The 21923-nt window shown below is 45.8% G+C and overlaps 1 protein-coding gene across 8 annotated transcripts in view, besides 3 other annotated features; it reads right to left on the bottom strand.

Moving 5' to 3' along the window:
* Positions 1-21923, bottom strand: part of SFSWAP (splicing factor SWAP) — an 88649-nt gene that overhangs the window by 15425 nt on the left and 51301 nt on the right. For 4 of the 8 annotated variants that reach the window (XM_024449125.1, XM_047429327.1, NM_001261411.2 and 1 more), the window contains 3 exons: positions 19628-19858; positions 18006-18196; positions 5984-6249 (listed from right to left, as the gene is read on the bottom strand). In XM_024449125.1, coding sequence (XP_024304893.1) covers positions 5984-6249; positions 18006-18196; positions 19628-19858 — 688 coding nt within the window. Of the gene's footprint in view, positions 1-985; positions 3510-5983; positions 6250-18005; positions 18197-19627; positions 19859-21923 lie in introns of those variants that run through there. The other 4 variants (XM_047429328.1, XM_011538653.1, XM_017019798.1 and 1 more) reach the window with 2 other exon arrangements.
* Positions 9628-10252: an enhancer, noted in NCBI's record as "OCT4-NANOG-H3K27ac-H3K4me1 hESC enhancer chr12:132258607-132259231 (GRCh37/hg19 assembly coordinates)". NCBI's record gives its function as "activates a minimal SCP1, AML or CMV promoter by ChIP-STARR-seq in primed H9 embryonic stem cells {active_cell/tissue: H9 hESC(primed)}" and the evidence as "EXISTENCE:reporter gene assay evidence [ECO:0000049][PMID:30033119]".
* Positions 10253-10878: an enhancer, noted in NCBI's record as "NANOG-H3K27ac-H3K4me1 hESC enhancer chr12:132257981-132258606 (GRCh37/hg19 assembly coordinates)". NCBI's record gives its function as "activates a minimal SCP1, AML or CMV promoter by ChIP-STARR-seq in primed H9 embryonic stem cells {active_cell/tissue: H9 hESC(primed)}" and the evidence as "EXISTENCE:reporter gene assay evidence [ECO:0000049][PMID:30033119]".
* Positions 10332-10521: an enhancer, noted in NCBI's record as "active region_7370". NCBI's record gives its function as "activates an Ori minimal core promoter by ATAC-STARR-seq in GM12878 lymphoblastoid cells {active_cell/tissue: GM12878}" and the evidence as "EXISTENCE:reporter gene assay evidence [ECO:0000049][PMID:35858748]".

Here is a 21923-nt window from a genome sequence, read left to right as displayed (position 1 = left end):
GCTCTACCAGCAGCTCCCGGGGCTGAATTTTCCTCAAGTTGAAACTGGATCTGATTTCACCTGCAATTCCTCCTCGTGTCCCAGCCCGGTGACAGCCACTGCAGCTCCCCTCCTTCCTGGACTGCTCAGTGCAGACACCCTCTGGTCTTATCTGTGTTTGGCTACAATTCACTTTGATTCACTTTGCAAGGGATGGAACGACGGTCCTCACCTTGGCATGATCAACACTACCACTTGGGGAACTGCAAGCATCTGGTTTCCCCCTTTAAGGGGCAGGATTAGGAGATGAGTCATCGCTTTTACGGATTTGCTATGCAATTTATTGTGGGTAAAAAGGGCAGTGAGGAGCCACAACTTTCAACCTAAAATAGAAACCCAGTGTGGCCTGAGTCCCTTCTGAATGCTAAACAAGACTCCTAAGAAAAGTCTTCCAAATCCCCAGTCTCCTTCACCAACCCCAAGTATTTAGGGAGCTAATTTCTACAAAGAATTATATATATATATATATATATATATATATAAAATGTTTTTTTTTGAGACGGAGTCTCACTCTGTTGCCCAGGATGGAGTGCAGTGGCGCGATCTTGGCTCACTGCAAGCACCGCCTCCCGGGTTCACGCCATTCTCCTGCCTCAGCTTCCTGAGCAGCTGGGACTATAGGCACCACCACGCCCGGCTAATTTTTTGTATTTTTAGTAGAGACGGGGTTTCACCGTGTTAGCCAGGATGGTCTCAACCTCATGATCCGTCTGCCTCAGCCTCCCAAAGTGCTGGGATTATAGGCGTGGGCCACCACGCCCGGCCAGAAATATATTTTTATCATATAGCTCTCTATACTGGAAGATATCTTAAAATGACAACATTCAAAGATCTATCTAGAACTCCCAGAAGCCCAGGCTAACTCTGAAGATGCATTTAGATAACTAAATGAACACAAGAGACTATCTTAGCAAAAGTTTTAAAAATAAACTTAGTTTCAAGCTGATACTTATTAAAATTTAATTTCAGGTTGTAAATGAACTACATGAGTACTTCTTCATTCCATTAACATAGAGAACCAGATACAATATCAAAATACAAATGAAAACAGACAATAAAAGTATTTTACTTTAATCTTTTTTTTTTTTTTTTTTTAGACGGAGTCTTGCTCTATTGCCCAGGCTGGAGAGCAGTGACACGATCTTGGCTCACTGCAATCTCCACCTCCCGGGTTCAAGCAATTCTCCTGCCTCAGCCTCCCGAGTAGCTGGGATTATAGGCGCACACCAACACGCCTGGCTGATTTTTGTATTTTTAGTAGAGATGGGGTTTTACCATGTTGGCCAGGCTGGCCTTAAACTCCTGACCTCAGGTGATCCACCTGCATCAGCCTCCTTAAGAGCCGGGATTATAGGCGTGAGCCACCGTGCCAGCCTCAATGTTGATGTAAAAGACACTAAATACTACCTTGTCGTAACTAGTATACTTTTTGAGAAGCAACATAGTGATTTTCCAAAACTAAAGATTCTTCCATGACTAATTTGCCTTTGGAGATCCAGAGTCGCCCATAACTTAGACATACTAAATACATGGGACTTCAACCACAGGAACAGTATAGCCATTAAATAAATATTCGTTGTGCTGTAAGAAGGCTTTCTAATCTTAACTTTCTGTATTTTATATAGAATTTTAGTAATTTAATATATAAAACAAAATACATTCCATGTAGCATCCTACCCAATTAGAAATATTAACAACTGCGGTATTCTACTGTGGGCTGGCAGCAGTCATGAAAAATGATCAATTAGGTCTGTTCAGGCCCAAGTGACAAGTCCGATCCATTCTGAGTGGAGGCTGCGTTTGTAACAGTTTATTCTATCTGATAACAACAGCATTAACACTTTCAATATTTTGGTTAAAATTTAGTTATCTTTTATACTCCAATAATTCATATTACTGAGGAGATCACCACCCCTCCCATTTCTAACTTGCATTTTAAAGCCACTTGGATCCCTGGAAATGATTATTGCTGGCAGAGCTTGGATGGAGGAGGCAGGTTTGCAGCCAGTTTAGAAAAATGCAATCCTACTAAATAAAACACGCACTCACTGTTCCCAGAAGAGCTGAGGCAGAATTCCACAAGAAAAGGTTATGGTGAGAAACCACCAGCTTCTTCTTCTTCTTGTTCTTTTGTCATAGAGAATATGTTGATCAGGCTAGATTCGATCTCCTGGGCTCAAGGAATCCTCCTGCCTCTGCCTCCCAAGCATCTGGGGCTTGACTAGCTTGTTTAACTTATGTCCTCAGACTCCAGAGACCACGGCACTGCCGGTCTCTGCACCCAGCTATGCCCTTGGCCCTGTGGAGGGGAACCAATGCCAGGGGCCAGCACCCACGGTAGAACTTGCTAGACAATCCAACACCTGGAAGGTTTTGTTTTATAATATTATTTTCATTTTATAATAAGCTTGCACTTTGCCTTCATATTTTGTCTCAGTTGCAAAATCAAATGCTTTTAAATCCCTTATTTAACTAAAATTAACTAGAAGTATGTAGATACTACCTCCTTGGCCATGGAGACTAATTAAAAATTGGAGTGTTCTGGAAACACTTTGCTCTGCTGACGCTGTAAAGTGTTTTAAACGTAGGTCGGATTAAAATTGGTAGCCTACCATCACGGTGGAAACCACACTCAGGTAACTTTTACCTTAATTTTTTCTTTTAACTGAAAGTTACAAACAAATGAGTAGGATTTTGCTTCTTGGACTTGTCAGCAGTGAATATATAAAAATAATATAGGCCGGGCGCGGTGGCTCACGCCTGTAATCCCAGCACTTTGGGAGGCCGAGGCGGGTGGATCATGAGGTCAGGAGATCGAGACCATCCTGGCTAACACGGTGAAACCCCGTCTCTACTAAAAATACAAAAAATTAGCCGGGCGAGGTGGCGGGCGCCTGTAGTCCCAGCTACTCGGGAGGCTGAGACAGGAGAATGGTGTGAACCCGGGAGGCAGAGCTTGCAGTGAGCAGAGATCGCGCCACTGCACTCCAGCCTAGGCGACAGCGAGACTCTGTCTCAAAAAAAAAAAAAAAAAAAAAAATAATAAGATATATTTGCATATGTGAAGTAATATGTAACTAAAGCTATTCTAAATTATTCAAAAATATGTAACTCTAAATCGATTCTAAAATAAATCATTCAAATAATATGTAAAATGACCTTTTCTACTATAGACCAGTCAACAAAAAGGATGTACAACTTAGAAACCTGAAATTCCAAGTGTTAGGTGAAGCCTTTCAGCTCTGAATATGCCAATGTGGGAAAAGCTGGGGGCCACGGCATCACCTGTCTTTAGAGGTGAATGGTAGGATACCCGGAAATATCAGACATCACATCCGCTGTGTTTGCAAAAACTCCCCACATGAAAGCTGAGCTAATTTCTTACGCTAAAGAAACACCATGAACAGCTCTTACAATGATCGGTCCCCCAAGGTTTGGGATTTAGGAAGGAATTATGCTTCCTTTTGAGCCTGTAGAAAAGGAAAATTGGGAAGAATTTTACTGAATGTGGTTACTAGGAGGGCTTGTTTATGCCTATCTTCAGCTATGTAATGTCGTAAGAAACATATTCAAGTGGGAAATTTTTTATTTTAATCATTTAATTGCATTTAGAGGCAAGGTCTCGCTCTGTCACCCAGGCTGGAGTGCAGTGGCGTGATCATAGCTCACTGCAGCCTCAAACTCCTGAGCTCAGCTCAAGCAATCCTTCCACCTCAGACTCTACGCTTGAGCTCAGGAGTTCAAAGCATCCACTGCCATGCCTGGCTAATTAAAAAAAAATATTTTGTAGAGATAGGTTTTCACTATGTTGCCAAAGCTAGTCTTGAACTCCAGGCCTCAAAGTGATCCTCTCATCTTGGCTTCCCAAAGCACTGGAATTTCAGGTGTGAGCCATTGTGCCTGGCCTCAAATGAGAAATTTTTAAAAAGCTTCGATATACAATACAAGTTCCTGGGAGCCTTCAAAAATTGAAGATATATTAGCAAAACTGTTCATTTGATTAGAAAATAGCAAGGTTTCTTTTTTGCGTGTATAAGGGTATGAAGTGATGAAACGTTTAAAACACTCGCAAAAATGTAGAGTGAAAGATCAAATTGATTTATCATGGAGTCAAATCCAATTTCACTGCAGAGGAGTGTAAATGCTTGTCAAACTTTAAGTGTTGGCCAGGGTAAAAATAAGGAAAGCAGGCTGGGCACAGTGGCTCACGCCTGTAACCCCAGCACTGTGGGAGGCTGAGGTGGGTGGGTCACCTGAGGTCAGGAGTTCGAGACCAGCCTGGCCAACATGGTGAAACCCAATCTCTACTAAAAAAACAAAATTAGCTGGGCGTGGTGGCACATGCCTGTAATCCCAGCTACTTGGGAGGCTGAGGCAGAAGAATCACTTGAACCTGGGAGGCAGAGGTTGCAGTGAGCCAAGATCGTGCCATTGCACTCCCACCTGGGAAACAAGAGCAAAAACTCCGTCTCTAAATAAATAAATGAATAAATAAATAAATAAGTAAAGAAAGCAAGCATATTGTTTTTAGGATATATTCAGAGAGGCAAATGTGTAAAATTACACTTAAAAAGCCCGTAAAGCTCCCAAGGCATGTGTATTTTTCCCACAGAAACATAAGAGCTAACACCAATTCCAGAAGAAAAACTAGATGAGCACAGTCAGTGCGGCGTTAGAGAAACCGAGGAGAGTCAGCCAGTGTTCAGCAGCGAACCCAAGGTGTAACGGGGTTCTGAAAACAGGGCAAGCTGTGCCAACCTCCTGTAGGTCAGCCACTGTTTTGTTTTTAAAAAGTGGTTTTCACCAAGATGTAAATTCTGTGACTCTTAAATGTTTTTACATTTTTAATTTCTGCTGCCAGAAATGTTAACCTGCTTTCTGAAAAACTGGCTCCTCATCAAGAAGGCCTTTGGTTTAATAGTGACTCCTGGAGGGAGGGTGGAGAGGAAACATTCTGCACCAGCGCCGCCCTCTTCACACACACCCACCCGCGCCGCCCTCTTCACACACACTCACCCGCGCCGCCCTCTTCACACACGCTCACCCGCGCCGCCCTCTTCACACACACTCATCCGCGCTGCCCTCTTCACACACACTCACCGTCGCTGCATCTCTGCACACACGCTCACCGGTGCCACACGAAGTGTGTGCAGAGTGTGGCACCGGTGAGTGTATGTGCAGAGTGCGGTGCCGGTGAGTGCGTGTGCAGAGCAGAGAATCCAAACCCAGAACCAGTGCTAAAGAGTTCTCCTGTCTTGCAACTTTACACATTTGAGACAAATTAGCATGGGAAACTTCACTTATACAAATAAAACAAAAGACCCCCAGCACACCACCCTGTGAATCTTTCACACAATCGGCAAATGTGGTAGGCTTGCTTCCAGGAACCATTAGAATTTAAACAAACCAATTTTTAAAAACCTGGCAGTAGTTTATGAACTTTGAAAAGTTAAGTATAGGCCTGCGCGGTGGCTTAGGCCTGTAATCCCAGCACTCTGGGAGGCCAAGGTGGGTGGATTACCTGAGGTCAGGAGTTTAAGACCAGCCTGGCCGACACGGTGAAACCCCGTCTCTACTAAAAATACAAAAATTAGCCAGGCGTGGTGGTGGGCACCTGTAATCCCAGCTACTCAGGAGGCTGAGGCAGGAGAATCACTTGAACCTGGGAAGCGGAGGTTGCAGTGAGCCAAGATCGCACCACTGCACTCTAGCCTGGGCAACAAGAACAAAACTCTGTCTCAAAAAAGAAAAAGTTAAGTATAAAACAAACAAAAATCTGAAAAAGATCTTACTTGGACTTGCAGGGCACACATGCACATGCATACACGCGTCTGCTTAATGAAAGCGGCACTGATTTTAAACGTTCTACCTAGCTCTACTGGGTGTCCTGTGAAGGACATGGGGGTCATGAGGGTACCAGAGGTGCTGCCCCCTTCACACCCACCTCGACCGCCGCACTGTCCGATAGGCACTGGGAAGAGAATGCTTTGCTTTTGAGTGTGATCTAGACCTGGACTTGGATGACGAATGGTACTTGGGAGAACGTGATCTTGTTCGAGATCTTTTTTTGTGCTTTTTCTTTTTCTTTTCTTTCTCTTCTTCTCTCGGTGGATCTTTGCTTTTGCTCGAAGGCCTATCGGGTGGTTTAACTTCTAAAGTAGGCAGAGGCCTGCCTCCAGTCAGTAGAGGGCAGGGCGTAGTGCTGGATTCCTAAGAATAAAAGGAAAATCTGGGTGTTAACAGGGAAAACAGAACATTGAAGATGTATATCTATAAAATTTCAACTTTGGGCCCCTCACACCAACAAACACAGCAACCATCTCTTAGAAAGTCTCCTCCTGTGGCTATCCAGAGTGACCTCCTTGTCACCTCCCAGGATGCAAAAGGAGAAAGTGAACCCTCTGGTTCCCGAGCATTTCCACAGGCAGCACTCTCTTCCCAGCCCCCAGGCTGTGGACAGCCGGAGCCAACAAGAGGAGCACAGTATTAGAGTATTAGAGATGCTACGCTGGGAAAAAATACGTTCCTTTTTAGTTCACCCATTGTGGAAGTCAGTGTGGCCATTCCTCAGGGATCTAGAACCAGAAATACCATTTGACCCAGCCATCCCATTACTGGGTATATACCCAAAGGATTGTAAATCATGCTGCTATAAAGACACATGCACACGTATGTTTATTGTGGCACTCTTCACAATAGCAAAGATTTCGAACCAACGCAAACGTCCAACAATGATAGACTGGATTAAGAAAATGCGGCACATATACACCATGGAATACTATGCAGCCATAAAAAATGATGAGTTCATGTCCTTTGTAGGGACATGGATGAAGCTGGAAACCATCATTCTCAGCAAACTATCACCAAGGACAAAAAACCAAACACCGCATGTTCTCACTCATAGGTGGGAACTGAACAACGAGAACACATGGTCACAGGAAGGGGAACATCACACACCGGGGCCTGTTGTGGGGTGGGGTGAGCGGGGAGGGATAGCATTAGGAGATATACCTAACGTTAAATGATGAGTTAATGGGTGCAGCACACCAACATGGCACATGTATACATATGTAACTAACCTGCACGTTGTGCACATGTACCCTAAAACTTAAAGTATAATAAAAAAAAATAGTTCTTAAGGAAAAACAAAAAAAACAGTTTTAACTACCAGAGGAGAGATTCCTCAAACCTCCGATGTTAGGTTTTTAAATGAGTATCGGCACTACTCTGACAATAATTTTTAAAGAAGGTCTAGGCTCCCCTTTGATGTTTTAAAACCTCTCCATCTGAGTGTTACATACATACAGAAGAGCATATGAATCTTCAATGCATGCTGACACATTTCCACCACAGCGCATCGGAACCAGATCAGGAGACAGCACCCTTCAACAGCATAGGCCTGCAGCCTGCCCCTCTTTACCCAGAAAGCTCACTCTCTCCTCACTTCAAGTGAATTTTAAATTATAGCTGTTAAACATTTCACACCTTTAGACACAGTGAAAAATCTGCAATTTATCCTTTGTGCCTCGAAGAAATTCAGGTTAGGTGCTGGGGTGGGACCCAGTCTCCCAGGCTGCCCCCAGCTGCTCCCCGGGGAGAGCTCCAGCCCAGCCCGCGGCAGTGTGCGCAGGACGGCATCTGTGAAAGGCAAAGTGGTAAGGGGGCTTCCCTCCCTTCTTTCCTCTCCTTAGGTCCGCTGTGGCAAGGCCAACTGGCTGCGGGAAAACACTGTAGAAACGATTCTTCTACAGTTATGCTTCTTGCTTTGGCTTTGAGATCAAAAGCAATTCAGCAGAGCCCTGGTGGGGCAGGCCCCAATTTAAGATGAGTTTCCACTTGAGCTGGCTGCTTTATGATGGCACGGTGATTTCTCAGCCCTCTGTTCAGCCTCCTTGCTGTTTCCGTTTACACTGTGCTCTCTAATGCCCCTCCCTGGTTGTGGGTGTGCGGCGGGCAAGAGGGCAGGGATGAATTCCTCCTTGGGATCTGATGGCCGCTATGAGGTTCATCTTTAAGTCTCTGCCTAAATTATCTCCAGGGACATTTTGGCAAAAAAATCCACTTTACTGTGGGACAGTTCTTATCAAAAAGGTCTTTCTCATTTAAAATTCTGTTAAGTGTAACAATATTTTTCAGGTCAAACTTTTAAATATTTTATTATTTTTGTTTGTTTTGAGGCAGAGTCTTGCTCTGTTGCCGGGGTGGAGTGCAGTGGCGTGATCTCAGCTCACCGCAACCTCCGCCTTCCGGCCTCAAGTGATTCTTGTGCCTCAGCCTCCTGAGTAGCTGGGATTACAGGCATGTGCCATCATGCTCAGCTAATTTTTTTTTTTTTTTTTGTATTTTTAGTAGAGAAAGGGTTTTGCTATTTTGGCCAGGCTGGTCTCAAACTCCTGGCCTCAAGTGAACTGCACACCTCAGCATCCCAAAGTGCTGAGATTACGGGCGTGAACCACCGTGCCCAGCTAAAATATTTTATTGCTTACATAATTCTAACACACAAACGTCCAATGACAAAGCAAGCTCTATATCCAAGAACACCCCCACTCTGGCATTAGTCAGGATTTGCCCACAAGCAATGCTAAATGATCCTTTAAATTAAACATACAATAAATAAAAAGGTAGTAAGCTTTACAACTTCAGAGGCTCAACATCCTAGCTATGGCCTCTCCCATACACACCGAAAGGGAGAGGGCTTCCATTCTGCAAAGAGCAAAGAACACAGGTTTGCGAGCTGAGCACATCCTCTGAGGCGAGCCCTGGGTGGACACCAGAGAAATCAGCTGATGCACTAAAAAAATGCCAGTATCCACGGCCTCTACATCAGGAGCACACGCTGCGCAGAAAGCAAGCCGGCCCAGGGGCTGAAAGACGCCATTGGGAACCTCAACACGGGCACCTGTGAGTGTTCGGGAAGTCAGAGCTGCTGCAGGTCCTTTCAACAAGGCCCGGGATTTCCCCAGGAAAACAAAGAGAGAGCTGAAGAGAAGGAGAGCTGAGACACATACTCCACCCTCGAGTAAGGAGTTTGTTCTGTGACGAGAAGGAAGAGAAACACGTCTTTGCTGTCTTTTTCTGGTGAAGAACTCTCCTCATTTACTCTCTCCACGCTCACAAAATCACTGCACTAATTTGGTGTGTGATTGGTAAGGCGCTGTGTTAAAACAGAGGGGAGATGGAAAAACATGGTCCCTGGCAAACGTCTGTGAAAGACAAAACCAAACGGGCGCGAGACGCCATCTGAGGCACAGTCAAGACAAACAGGAGTGCGAGGAGTCAACTCTCCAGCTGAGTTTCTATTCATATTTCTACTGCCAACTTAATGATTTGAGCCTCCAAACTTTTTTTTTTGCCTTTATCCTAACTAATGCCTGTCATTAATAATACTTATCTCACCACTGTGCTTAAAGACTAGGGCTCCATTTTGAAGCGACGGGACAATCTGAATCAACACTTTCAAATGTCACTTGTAATCAAGTCCAGGTCTATTTATTCCAACAACACGATCATCCTTCACCATGAAGGTGAAAACTAGAGCTGTTGTGACCTCTGCCAGGCTGAATTAAGATGGTTCATTATGTTGACATTACTGCTTTTTTCAGCTTCAAGTGCTAAAAGTGAACAAGGACTGATGCCAAACACAGCTTCCCAGAAACCACAGCTGCCTTTGAGATGCATTTTTAATATTCCAGCAAAAATGATCAAAACGGAAGTCATGTTTGAATGTAGGGGGGCAGACGTACATTGGTTTAGGTAGAGTCCGGGACAAAGCAAATAACTTCTGAAAAATGGTCATTTATGAGAGCATTAACAGCTTACCGCCGGCCACTTCTGTAACACTGGAAATTAACATTGATTAGTCCCCCTGTGTCACGATGAAGTATTTGGCAACAAAATTAGCACATGAACCAGCAACGATTATTTCCTACTGTGGCAAAACAAACCGCTCAAAAGCAGACTGACTTTGTATCTGATTGTATTTGAAAATAAAAGAAATCTTATTTGTGAAGGACACTACATTAACTATGAAAGGGATAACCAACACTGCGGCGTTGCTCTCCATCCCTTCACCCAGCCCCACTGCCCTACCACGTCCTGCCCAGGTGCATCCTCCCACCCCTGCCTCCACTCTGCTCCAGCGCCCCGTGCCCCGCAGCCACACTGTCTCAGCGGAAATGCGGCTCTCATCCTGTCGGTCTCTCGTGCTCACTTATTCTGGCGTCCCAGGCTCTCCACAACTGGCCTCCCATTGTCATTCCGGTTCTGCCTGAGAAAGTGTCTTCCTGAGTGGGGCCACCTGTCCTTTACCACTTGTGGGTCTTTGGCCCTCGTGGGCCCTCACTATTCTGGTAAGCTCCTCAAGGCCTCGCCTGAGCCCCAGGTCCCGGAGCCGCCACTCTCCTCCTGGCTGTGCTGTCCTGATGGAAATGCCCATGTGTGAACAGCAACAGCTCAAATGCAGTCATGGTCACTGGTTAACAAGCAAGCTTCTAATGCATATCCCAAAGCACCTCAGCACCTAGCACACAGCAGAGATTCAGCAAACACAGGCAGGTTTCAGTTCCTATTTCCTTTTCAAACTCTTACTGGAATTGTAAACTTGGCAGATCAGTAACTTGAAAACATTTGTGGGCTGGGTGCAGTGGCTCATGCCTGTCATCCTAGCATCTTGAGAGGCCAAGGCGGGAGAACTGCTTGAGGCCAGGAGTTCAAGACCAGTCTGGGCAATATAGCAAAATCCCATCTCTACCAAAAATACAAAAAAATTTAGCTGGGCATGGTGGCAAGTGCATGTAAGTCCTAGCTACTTTGGAGGCTGAGGTAGGAGGAGTGCTTCAGGCCGGGAGGTCAAGGCTGCAGTGAGCTGTGATGGTACCACTGCATTCTAGCTCGGGCGACAGAGTGAGACTCTCTCAAAAAGAAAAAGAAAAAAAATTTGTGGAATCTAAGAAATCATCCTGCAGTCTGTTGCTACTATGTAAATGACCGCATGAAAAAAGGGGTTCAATGAAGACTTCTCCCTTCTCTTCATCCTGGATTACGAACACACACTAGGAATGAAGAGAGAATGTATGTGATACAGGCAGGAGGCAGGGAAATACTGGTGAGGGCTTCACACTCAAGCCTGGACCCGTGGCCCAAAGTGACAACTATCCCTGTTTTCCCACCTGAATGTTGCCTTTTGGCCTGCTCTGCCCCCTATCCTGTGCCCATAAGAACCCCAGACTCCAGACAAAGGGGACACACACAGAAGAGAAAGCATCTGAGCAAAGAGAGGAGAGGAAGCAGCTGGATGTTGGAGAGGAGTTTGGCTGAGGGATGGCCAGACTCCAGGGGAAAATTATCTTCCTGCTGTACCCCCTTGTCAGCTTCCCTTTCTGCTGAGAGCCACTTCCACAGCTCAATAAAGTCCTCCATATTCACCACCCTTTAATTCGTTCGTGTGACCTGATTCTTGCTGGACGCCGGACAAGAACTCAGGTACCAAGAGGGCAGGGTGTAAAGGCTGTCACCCTGACCCTCCACTGAGCTGATTAACACTCAACACTGATTGTAACACAGGCTTTCTGAGGCTCCAGGGGTCACAGACACCCACTCCCAGATGGCAGAGCTAAAAGAGCATTGTAATATGCTTGGAGGCTGCCGTGAGGCCAGCGCAGAGCCTGCTCCCGCCAGAGAGGAGAGTTCCTTTGCTCTGGTTCCCGCACCTGTCCGTTCGTGTGGTCCCTCCCGTAAGGGATTGAGTGGCAGCCGAGAAAACGAGCCACCCCCTGTGCCAGTCCTGAGAAGGGTCAAGGGAACTCTCCAGTCTCCTATGCAGGTTTATATGCATGATTTTTGCATATGCTTTTATATATTTTATATGCCACTTGAAAAATTTAGAGTGCTGCCAATATCTTTCCATGCCAATAGGCACACTTTAGGACATCATTTACAACTGTACCTGAATATGTAAAATCACCTTTCCTAACGATCAACGGGACTGAACAGGAACATGGATGCAGAAAGATCGAGTACAAATGGGAATTCAGCACGTTGTAAAGAAGGCTCTGTGAGTCACTGGGGAAAAGATGTATGACTTAGTGAATGCGTTGCATCGATAGTGACGTGCTCCTCAAACTCAAATAAATTCCAAGTATGGCAGGTCAGAAATGTACCGGGGAAAAAATGTTTGTGACACTGATGACAAACAGCTAACATGACGCAGCATAAGACAAAGAAAGGGCCCTTCCTAGGTCGAAGAAACATGGGCCCAGGCTAAGGGAAAGCCAGTTCAAAAGGCAGCAGACAATGCCAAGAAACATTAGCAAAGTGGCCGGGAGCGGTGGCTCAGGCTTGTAATCCCAGCACTTTGAGAGGCTGAGGCGGGCTGATCACGAGGTCAAGAGATTGAGACCATCCTGGCCAACATGGTGAAACCCTGTCTCTACTAAAAATACAAAAATTACCTGGGCGTGGTGGCGCCCGCCTATAGTCCCAGCTACTTGGGAGGCTGAGGCAGGAGAATCACTTGAACCCGGGAGGCAGAGGTTGCAGTGAGCCAATTGAGCCGAGATCGCGCTACTGCACTCCAGCCTGGAGACAGAGCGAGACTCCGTCTCAAAAAAAAAAAAAAAAAAAAAAGAGACATTAGCAAAATGACTCAGTGTTACTTACCATTAAATATGTAAGTTAAAGCAGATGCTGCTTTCCCACCGAAAGGCTGATGGTAACCAATGCCGACAGGGACATGAAGAAATAGTTCGCACACCCTACGGGGGCAAATAAAACTGCTACGGTCCCTTCAGAGGTCAACTGAGCAGTATCTCAAATTAAAAAAGGAATTCCATGGTGAGGATTTCCCCCGTGGGTGCACTCACTGGAGTACACAAGACACAGGACACAGATTGGGTGAAAGCGGCATCGTTCACAAAGACAGACCCACAGCTCACATTTCCCACAGCAGGGGAGGGGCACACACAGAGGGGGTGATTTACAGGTAAACTACTTAAAGTCATTCGGTCACTAAATACCTACCGAGTGCCTGTAACACACCAAACACTACTGTAAGCATTGATAACAGAAGGATCTCTACTGTAAGTGAAAAAAGTTGTCAGAAAAATATGTAGGGTATGATCCCCTATGAGGTTTTACACCTCCACATACATGAATCGAATTGAGTTTTTCCCCTCAAGGATTCACTTGGCCTCCCAAAGTGTTCGGAAACAAACGGGGTAGATGCACACGACCGAGCACCATTCAACTGTAAAAAGGAAGGGGGTCCAATGCGGCTGCTGCATGGCTGGACCCAGAGGATACCACGCTAGGTGAAGTCAGCCAGGCACAGAAGCACAGACACTGCAGAATCCCACACACATGCGGTCCCCAGGAGTCCCGTTCACAGAGGCTGCAAGCAGGTGGGTGCCAGGGCTGGGGGAGGGGAGGGCAGAGAGTTACTATTTAATGGCTACAGAGTTTTGGTTTTAGAAGATGGACATCCTGGGAACGGTTGGGTGGTAATAGTTGCACAGTGTGAATATACTTAATGCCAGCATAAACTGCACAGTTAAAAACGGTAAAATGGTAACCTTTATGTTAAAAACTCAAACTCTACAGAAGGGAGAGAATTGGAGGAATTTTAAAAAGTGCCATTTCCACAGGAATTAAAAAAATACACAAGAAAGAAAGGACCTCTCCTCTTTGTTTTATACCTTTCTCTAGCATTGGAACTTTAAAAATCATATGTATACATCAGTTTTATAGAAAGTAAAGACAGAGAAGTGACTGTCCTTCAGGCACATAAGCTGCACTGTGGCTGTTTTCAGTTAACTTTAAGGTGACAGCAAAATTCCTGCCATGTTATGCCAGGCCTTGTGTAAGGGAGTGTCCTCATGCCACCCTGCAGAGCCAGCCCGAGCTAGCCACGGCCCCGACAGACCTGGGGGTGCCATGAGCCTCCTGGTGCCGACGTGCCCTCAGCCACGCAGGCTTCCTCACCCAGGGCGTGCGGTGGCCGAATGTGGTCTTGTCTCAAGTCCTCCTGGACTCCGAGAATTTCACAACTACATAGCTGGGTCAAATGTCTCAACATCAGCGAGTAAAGCAGATGCTAGAATACTTAGTAAAGTCAAGGGTAACCTGTCCCAGAAGTTGTTTTAGGCTAAAAATATTTTCGAGTTTGAATTTTCTTTATGGCAATTGCCAATTTAATTACAAGTATTTTTGTTTCAGAAGCAATTAAAGACATTTATCATCATCTGCTACAACCATTACATTTTTGTTGAAATGGCTTGGTAGCTGTAATCTGCATACACAGACACACACATATATCCAGGGAGAGCATCCTAGTGATTTAAACGCTCATTTCTATGTTCTACAGATTCAAAAACCAATGCCTGCAAACAGGAGAGGTGAGAGGGTACGTGTAAAAATAAATAGGACAGATTGAGACCATCTTGGCTAACATGGTGAAACCCCGTCTCTACTAAAAATACAAAAAAATTAGCCGGGCGTGGTGGCGGGTGCCTGTAGTCCCAGCTACTCGGGAGGCTGAGGCAGGAGAATGGTGTGAACCCGGGAGGCGGAGGTTGCAGTGAGCCAAGACTGCGCCACTGCACTCCAGCCTGGGCGAGAGAGCAAGACTCTGTCTCAAAAAACAAACAAATAAATAAATAAATAAAATAAAATAAATAAATAGGACACAGACCTAAGCTGTAACATATCTTATGTTTATAAGGAAATAATTCTGGTTGCTGTGATGCGGAACTACAGCAGATTGGGAAAAACTGGGCTAGTGATAAATTATACTTGTGACTGAGTTTCACTGGAAATTTTATGACGACATACACGTATAGTCATGTAATGTAACTGGTTAAAGCATTCCTGTGAATGTCTTTCAATTAACCCCTTTACCCGCTGCACAAACGATATCAAAACATGAGAACCCGTACGCCACTGTAACAGGTCCCTTACTTTCTTAAATTCCCTTCCCTCCTTGCTACATGCATATTTTCATGGCTGTAACCACAGAAGTGGATATATTTTATACTGTGCTTCTCCTGCTTATTACATCAGAAGCATTTTCTGTGTGGCTACAAGCGTCCTCATGATCATTTTTGTTGTTGTGTATTTCATCCCCTTATTGCTGCAGAACATCCTTTTTTTTTTTGAGAAGGAGTCTCGCTCTGTCGCCCAGGCTGGAGTACAGTGGTGCAGTCTTGGCTCACTGCAACCTCTGCCTGCCAGGTTCAAGAGATTCTCCTGCCTCAGCCTCCCGAGTAGCTGGGATTACAGGCATGCTCCACCACGCTCGGCTAATTTTTTGTATTTTTAGTAGAGACGAGGTTTCACCATGTTGACCCCAGACTGATCTCGAACTCCTGGCCTCAAGCGATCCACCCGCCTTGGCCTCCCAAAGTGTTCGGATTACAGGTATGAGCCACCACGTCCAGCCAAGAAATCCTATTAAAGCTAAGGAATGACCACAGATCCTTCGGCCATAACTGGCTGAAGTGAGGAGCCAGGAGGCAGCCCCGACTCTGAAGAGCTGTGGAAAGGCTGTGAGACGGCGTCCCGGGGGGCTGCTGGGGGTTCCCACCTTGCCTGAAAATGTTCGTTTCTGGGGCTGGCATGTCAAATGGCTCAGAGGAGCTGAGGCTACAGCGGGTGGCCAGAGCACTCGGGACTCAGGGCAGGAGCCCACCCTGCGGCACTCGGGGACTCGACAGGGTCTCACACAAACTCATCTTCTCTGCTCTTCTAATTCTCCCCTCCTTGCCCGTCAGTTATTATTTCTGAGGCCTCCTGCCAGATGTGAGAGGATTTCAGACTGACTCCCAAAACAAGAAAGCTGATTCAGCCTTCAGCATCATTTGAAAAGTCTGAGCTTAGAATGTTGTTTTCCACAGAAAAATAAGCGAAGTGACTTCAAGCAGAAAATCAGTTTTCAATAATGGCCCTGGACTCTTAGAAACGTCAATATAATTAAAGTGAAAGGCTCATTCTGTACTTTGGGAAAAAAAGATCTACAAAAGACACGTGGGGCCACTTGGAGCAACGTGGCTGCGGCCTGCAGAGGAAGTGATGGACACCATCGGTGGACAATCTGCATGCAGTGCTGTGTTTCCCAGGAGAAGGCCCTTCATGGGAAATGCAGCTGCAGTATTCAGGGCAGAGCAGTCACCACATATGCAACGACTCTCAGAGAGGGCGAGCACGCGTGGGTCAACGTGCGCACATATAGATGAGCGAGCACGCGCATGCAATCGCCTGGGGTGCTGGGGGCATCTTCCCATTCTTTCCAATTTTTTGAAGGTTTGAAACTTTTCAAAAAGTAAAATTCCCGGAGTTACTACCTTTTTTATTCTTTCCAACTTTTATTTCTTTCATCACCCAGGCAGTGAGCATAGTAGCTAACAGGGAGGTTTTTGATCTTCACCCTCCTCCCTCCCTCCCTCCACCCTCAATGAAGCCCTCGAGTCTGCTGTTCTCTTCTCTGTGTCCATGTGTGCTCAATGTTTAGCTCCCACTTATAAGCGAGAACATGTGGTGTCTGATTTTCTGTTCCTGTGTTCATTCATTTTTTTAAAGAGAGAGATTAGGTTGAGAAAGATTTTATAAAATGATTTTTAAGTGTTCTTGAAATAACATAAAACCACAACTTTTTAGCTATTGTCTAATTGTAGATGTAAACCCATTCTAATATTATAGTTCAAATGTTGTCAGCTTTTAATTCACCTACAATTACAGGACTAGCTACTAAAATGCCCAGTTTTGTCACAGTTTATTGATACAAAGACAACCCTCCTTTAATCCTCAAAGGATGTGTCCTACTCTATTATTTTTCTTACTTTAAGAGTTATGTCTCCAAAATGCTCCTAAACTCCCCAAAGAATTTCTGCATATTCTTGTAGTTTAAATACAAAATAAAATTCAGAGACATAACTACTATAAAGAATCTAAAATTAAACTTAAAAGATTCTAAATTGATGTGACAAAAAAAAAAGTAGAGTTTTTGCTGATTATGATTAATTGCTGTGCTGCTGCTGCGGAAGGCATGTGTTTCCTGAAGGCCTCTGGTCTCGGACACGCATGGGAGCAATCCCCTTGGCACAGGAGCCAGTGTCTACTGAAGGCCTCTGGTCTCGGACACGCATGGGAGCAATCCCCTTGGCACAGGAGCCAGTGTCTACTGAAGGCCTCTGGTCTCGGACACGCATGGGAGCAATCCCCTTGGCACAGGAGCCAGTGTCTACTGAAGGCCTCTGGTCTCGGACACGCATGGGAGCAATCCCCTTGGCACAGGAGCCAGTGTCTACTGAAGGCCTCTGGTCTCGGACACACAAGGGAGCAATCCCCTTGGCACTCAGGAGCCAGTGTCTACTGAAGGCCTCTGGTCTGAGGCACTGTTCTGAGCACCCCCTCCTTGGCAGGGAGACTTGTAAGGCAGCCACGTGATGACCCCCATGTAAGGCCCTATTCCTGCTCACACCACTGAGGAAGGAGCCATGTACTCCTGGAGTCTGTTCTCTTAACTCCCTCTTCCTTTTTCTCTTTAATTAAAGTGCTGACATTGATACAGACCGTGGCAAAAGGATTTCTGCCCCACGTGTGAGCGCAATACTGGTGCTGCTGCGGAGGCGGGGCTTCAGTGAAGTGTGTCCACCACATTTCCCCAGCAGGACCCATGGGAGGCACTCCCCAAGCCCTCCTGCCAGCCCCATAAGGGCAGCCGTGAAGCAGAGGCTCCCCTGAAATCGCGGGCAGTGTTTGCTGCTGGCGTGACTGTGCACTGACGGGGGAGACTGCTGGCAAACTCTTAGATTCACTGCTATAGAGTAAAAGCCACTCAACCATGTCGGGAGGAAGAGCTGGGAGCTCATATCCCTCACTCAGGCCAGAGACTAGGGCAGCTGGAGGGAGACACATCCTCCCTGCCTCTATGTATCACACAGCCCCGCAGATACCAATGTGGGATTTTACTATACCTCGACACTGAAAGGACTCTCCTCAATTTTCCCAGCTTCTGCTTCCGGCAGAGGATTTTTGAGGGTCTGTAAAAATAACGCCGCTTTCCTTTTACGTTCTGCTTGAAGCTGTTTCTCTTTTGACTCCTTAGACGCCTGGGCCAGCTTTTCCCGGGCAGCAGCTGCGAGGCGATCTTCCAGCTTTTGCTTTGCTTAAGGAATAAACAAAGAAAAAAGAGAAGTTTAGAGCAAACAGTATTTTATCTGATCTTAATTTTCACAGGTTGCAAAAGTGTCATACAATGCAGTTAGTTAAAGTTTCTGAATAGGTACATACATTGGACAAATCAAATTTTGAGAGAATTAGTTTATAACGTGCCCTTTTTTGGACATTTTACTTTCAGAGTTAGAAGGTTGGTGAGACTCTACACTAACGAAAGCTGGAATAATGAAAACCTCAGAGTGGCTCTCAGCATATATCCAAAATATTCACACCAGGCAATGAATACTCTATAAGTGTTTTATTCCAAATGATCCGACAGTTGGTTAGTTTACACACAGGAAGGACAGATTCAGATGTACAGGCATGAGTACAAGTTTGCTTAGGGAGAACACCACAGCACAATGGAAGTTCTTGATGGTGGATTGTGGTTGAAAAATGGCTTTTTTTTTTTTTCTTTGAGACGGAGTTTTTGCTCTTGTTGCCCAGGCTGTAGTGCAATGGCGTGATCTCAGCTCACTGCAACCTCTGCCTCCCGGGTTCAAGCGATTCTCCTGCCTCAGCCTCCCAAGTAGCTGGGATTACAGGCGTGTGCCACCACGCCCGGCTAATTTTGTTTTTTCAGTAGAGATGGGGTCTCACCATGTTGGCCAGGCTGGTTTCTAACTTCTGACCTCAGGTGATCCACCCACCTTAGCCTCCCAAAGTGCTGGGATTACAGGCATGAGCTACCGCGCCTGGCCTGAAAATTGGCCTCTTTCAAATGTTGCTTGATCTGAATGTGTGTATACAGGAAAAGCAATTTAAGAAAATCAGTTAGAATAGATAACAACCACAATGCAGCAACCATTATTTGACTGCTTTAATGCAGAGCAGAATTTATTCTGGAGTCGGGATGGGAAGACTACATGCTGTCCCCATGCTGCCAGCAGTGTTGGGGTGGGTGTGGTGGCCACACTGCGGCCCATGAAGATGAGCCGCAGCCGGAAAACCAGCTGGGGACACACCACCTTCAAGGGCCCAATGGTTCTGTGGGTAGGCAGCCTCACAAGAGGGCATCTCCTAGTTTGGTTCCTGAGCTGGGAAGACAGGCTGAGCCTTTTACCCTGGGGCTGCCAGCCAAGTGCAAAGTGAGCTGCCATTAATGCATTCCACTGTGGCGCATTAGAGCTAAGACGGCCAACTCAGTTTCTTCGAAAACAAACTGCCAGCGGCACTGCATTTGAGGCTCAGTGAAGAGCAGAGCTCATTCCTCTAAAAGAGAACGTTTCAAAACCTCAGACATGTTACACAACTCCCAAATAGGTCGATTTCCAAAGGCTTCAGATTCTAGTTGGCAGCCTCGAGATTTTTTGGCTTAGCAGATAAATCTTATATTTGTGTATTTCCTTTCTTTCAAGAAGTTTAAAAGCTATCAACAAACCTTGCTTTGCTTCTAGCTCCTCCTGGGTAAGTTGAGGCTTCTTCTCCTCAACAACTACACAGGGTGGGGCAACTGCTGGGTTAGTGTTTGCAGCACTACTAGAACTTTCTTGGCCTTCTTTGCTTTCTTCATCATCATCACTGTCATCATCTAGCTTAACACGATTTTTTTCCAGGGGAAGCAGATCATTTTCTTTGGCCTTGATTGCAAAGCTTATTGGAGCAAAGGAAGCTATTGAGGAAAGGTGAGAATTATGATACATGTTACAGAGTGGAAATCTTTGCAGGCCCTGCTACCCACCTGAGCATCGGCTGCTGGGAAGGGGATGACTAGCATGGAGCCACATCATATGCAGGGTCTACGGTGGGGGACGCCGTGCCGTCAGAGCAGACCTGTGCAGATGTGCACTGCATGGCGTGGGGCTGGGGTGAGCCCCTGAACCATGCTGTGAGAACCGCACTGACTGGGGACTTCATGGCAAGGGCACACTCGCTGATGCCAGGGCAGTCACCTGCAATTTTAAATGGCCAATTCTTGTCATTTTTCTTTTCTTTTCTTTTTGAGATGGAGTCTCGCTCTGTCGCCCAGGCTGGAGTGCAGTGGCACGATCTCGGCTCACTGCAACCTCTGCCTCCTAGGTTCAAGCGATTCTCCTGCCTCAGCCTCCTGAGTAGCTGGGAGTACAGGCGCCCGCTGCCATGCCTGGCTAAATTTTTCTATTTTTAGTAGAGATGGGGTTTCACCATGTTAGCCAGGATGGTCTTGATCTCCTGACCTCGTGATCCGCCTGCCTCGGCCTCCCAAAGTGCTGGGATTATAGACGTGAGCCACTGTGCCCGGCCTCATTTTTCTTTAAAAAAAAAAAAAAAAATTCATGGCTCAGCATATATCTAAATTTGCTTCAGGAGGCATATGATGTGACTCCACTATAAACAGGTCTCTTTAAAAAATTCCCCATGATAAAAAATAGCCTTTTCTTACAAAGCAAAAATTACAGAATCCATGCCTTTATTCAGCAAACATTTTTACCTACTTTGTGACAGGCATTATGTTAGACCATTTTCCACACCTGTAAGAAAATGTCAAACCCAGCGTGACAGAAGTTTAGAAGCAATCCCTCCTCTTAGAATATCCAGAAGGCTTAAATTTAAGGGAAATATGGAGGCCCTAAAGAAAAAATCATCTTTCCCGCCCCACCACTCAATGAACACAGAGTCCCTTTCTCTTTCAGATGCTGTGATAAATGGCTCTTGACAAGAGCTAACTGGTTGCAATAAGATACAGTATTTTAAAAAACCATCAGTTGTTATTTATGAAGAATATTCAAGGCACCCACAATGAAGGGGATGCTAAGTGCACCGCAAACCAGGTGACTGAGAGGGAAGTGGGTTCTGGGTAAACAAGGCCGCTTCTGGAAGGGCTGCAACTTATGTTTGTGATGCCACCTCTGTAGCACAGGGTGGGCTACCTGGCTGGCCCCTGGCGGAGGTCCTTCCGCTTTAGCATTTTATGGCTCCAAACCCGCGTGTGATGTGAAGTAGACAGTTAAGCATGTGATAGCCCAGACCCTCTGAAATATAACCACTTTTCATCAACAACTGCCTCAGGGGACAGGGCACACACAAAGATACTGATACCGGGACAGCAGTATTTTATAACATCAAAATAAAAAGCAGCAGGGCCGGCAGCTGAAGCCAGATGATGAGCACGTGTGTGGGGCGTGAGTGGTCATTATGTGATATTCTGTTTTCGTACATGTTTGAGATTTTCCATAAGAAAAAAAAAATTGGCCGGGTGCAGTGGCTTACGCCTGTAATCCCAGCACTTTGGGAGGCCAAGGCAGGTAGATCACAAGATCAGGAGTTCAAGACCAGCAGGGCCAACACGGTGAAACCCTGTCTCTACTAAAAATACACAAATTAGCTGGGTGTGGTGGCGGGCGCCTGTAATCGCAGCTACTTGGGAGGCTGAGACAGGGGAATCACTTGAACCCGGGAGGCAGAGGCAGAGGTTACAGTGGGCTGAGATCACGCCACTGCACTACTCCAGCCTGGGTGACAGAGTGAGATTCTATCTCAAAAAAAACAAAAAACAAAACAAAACAAACAAGGGGCTGGACTAAAATATATCACAAAATGATTTAATAACAATTATTTCCAAACCATCTCCCCAAATTAGAAAAATACGCAATCAACAAATAAGAGTATTAAGATGAAAGCTTCCAGAACACCTTCTAGCAATGCTTATTTCATTTTACATTTTATTTTATTTTTTTTGAGAAAGGGTTTCACTGTGT

This window comes from Homo sapiens, chromosome 12 (assembly GCF_000001405.40).
Source record: "Homo sapiens chromosome 12, GRCh38.p14 Primary Assembly".
Lineage (NCBI taxonomy): Eukaryota > Metazoa > Chordata > Mammalia > Primates > Hominidae > Homo > Homo sapiens.
This window is presented reverse-complemented; position numbering and strand designations above follow the sequence as displayed.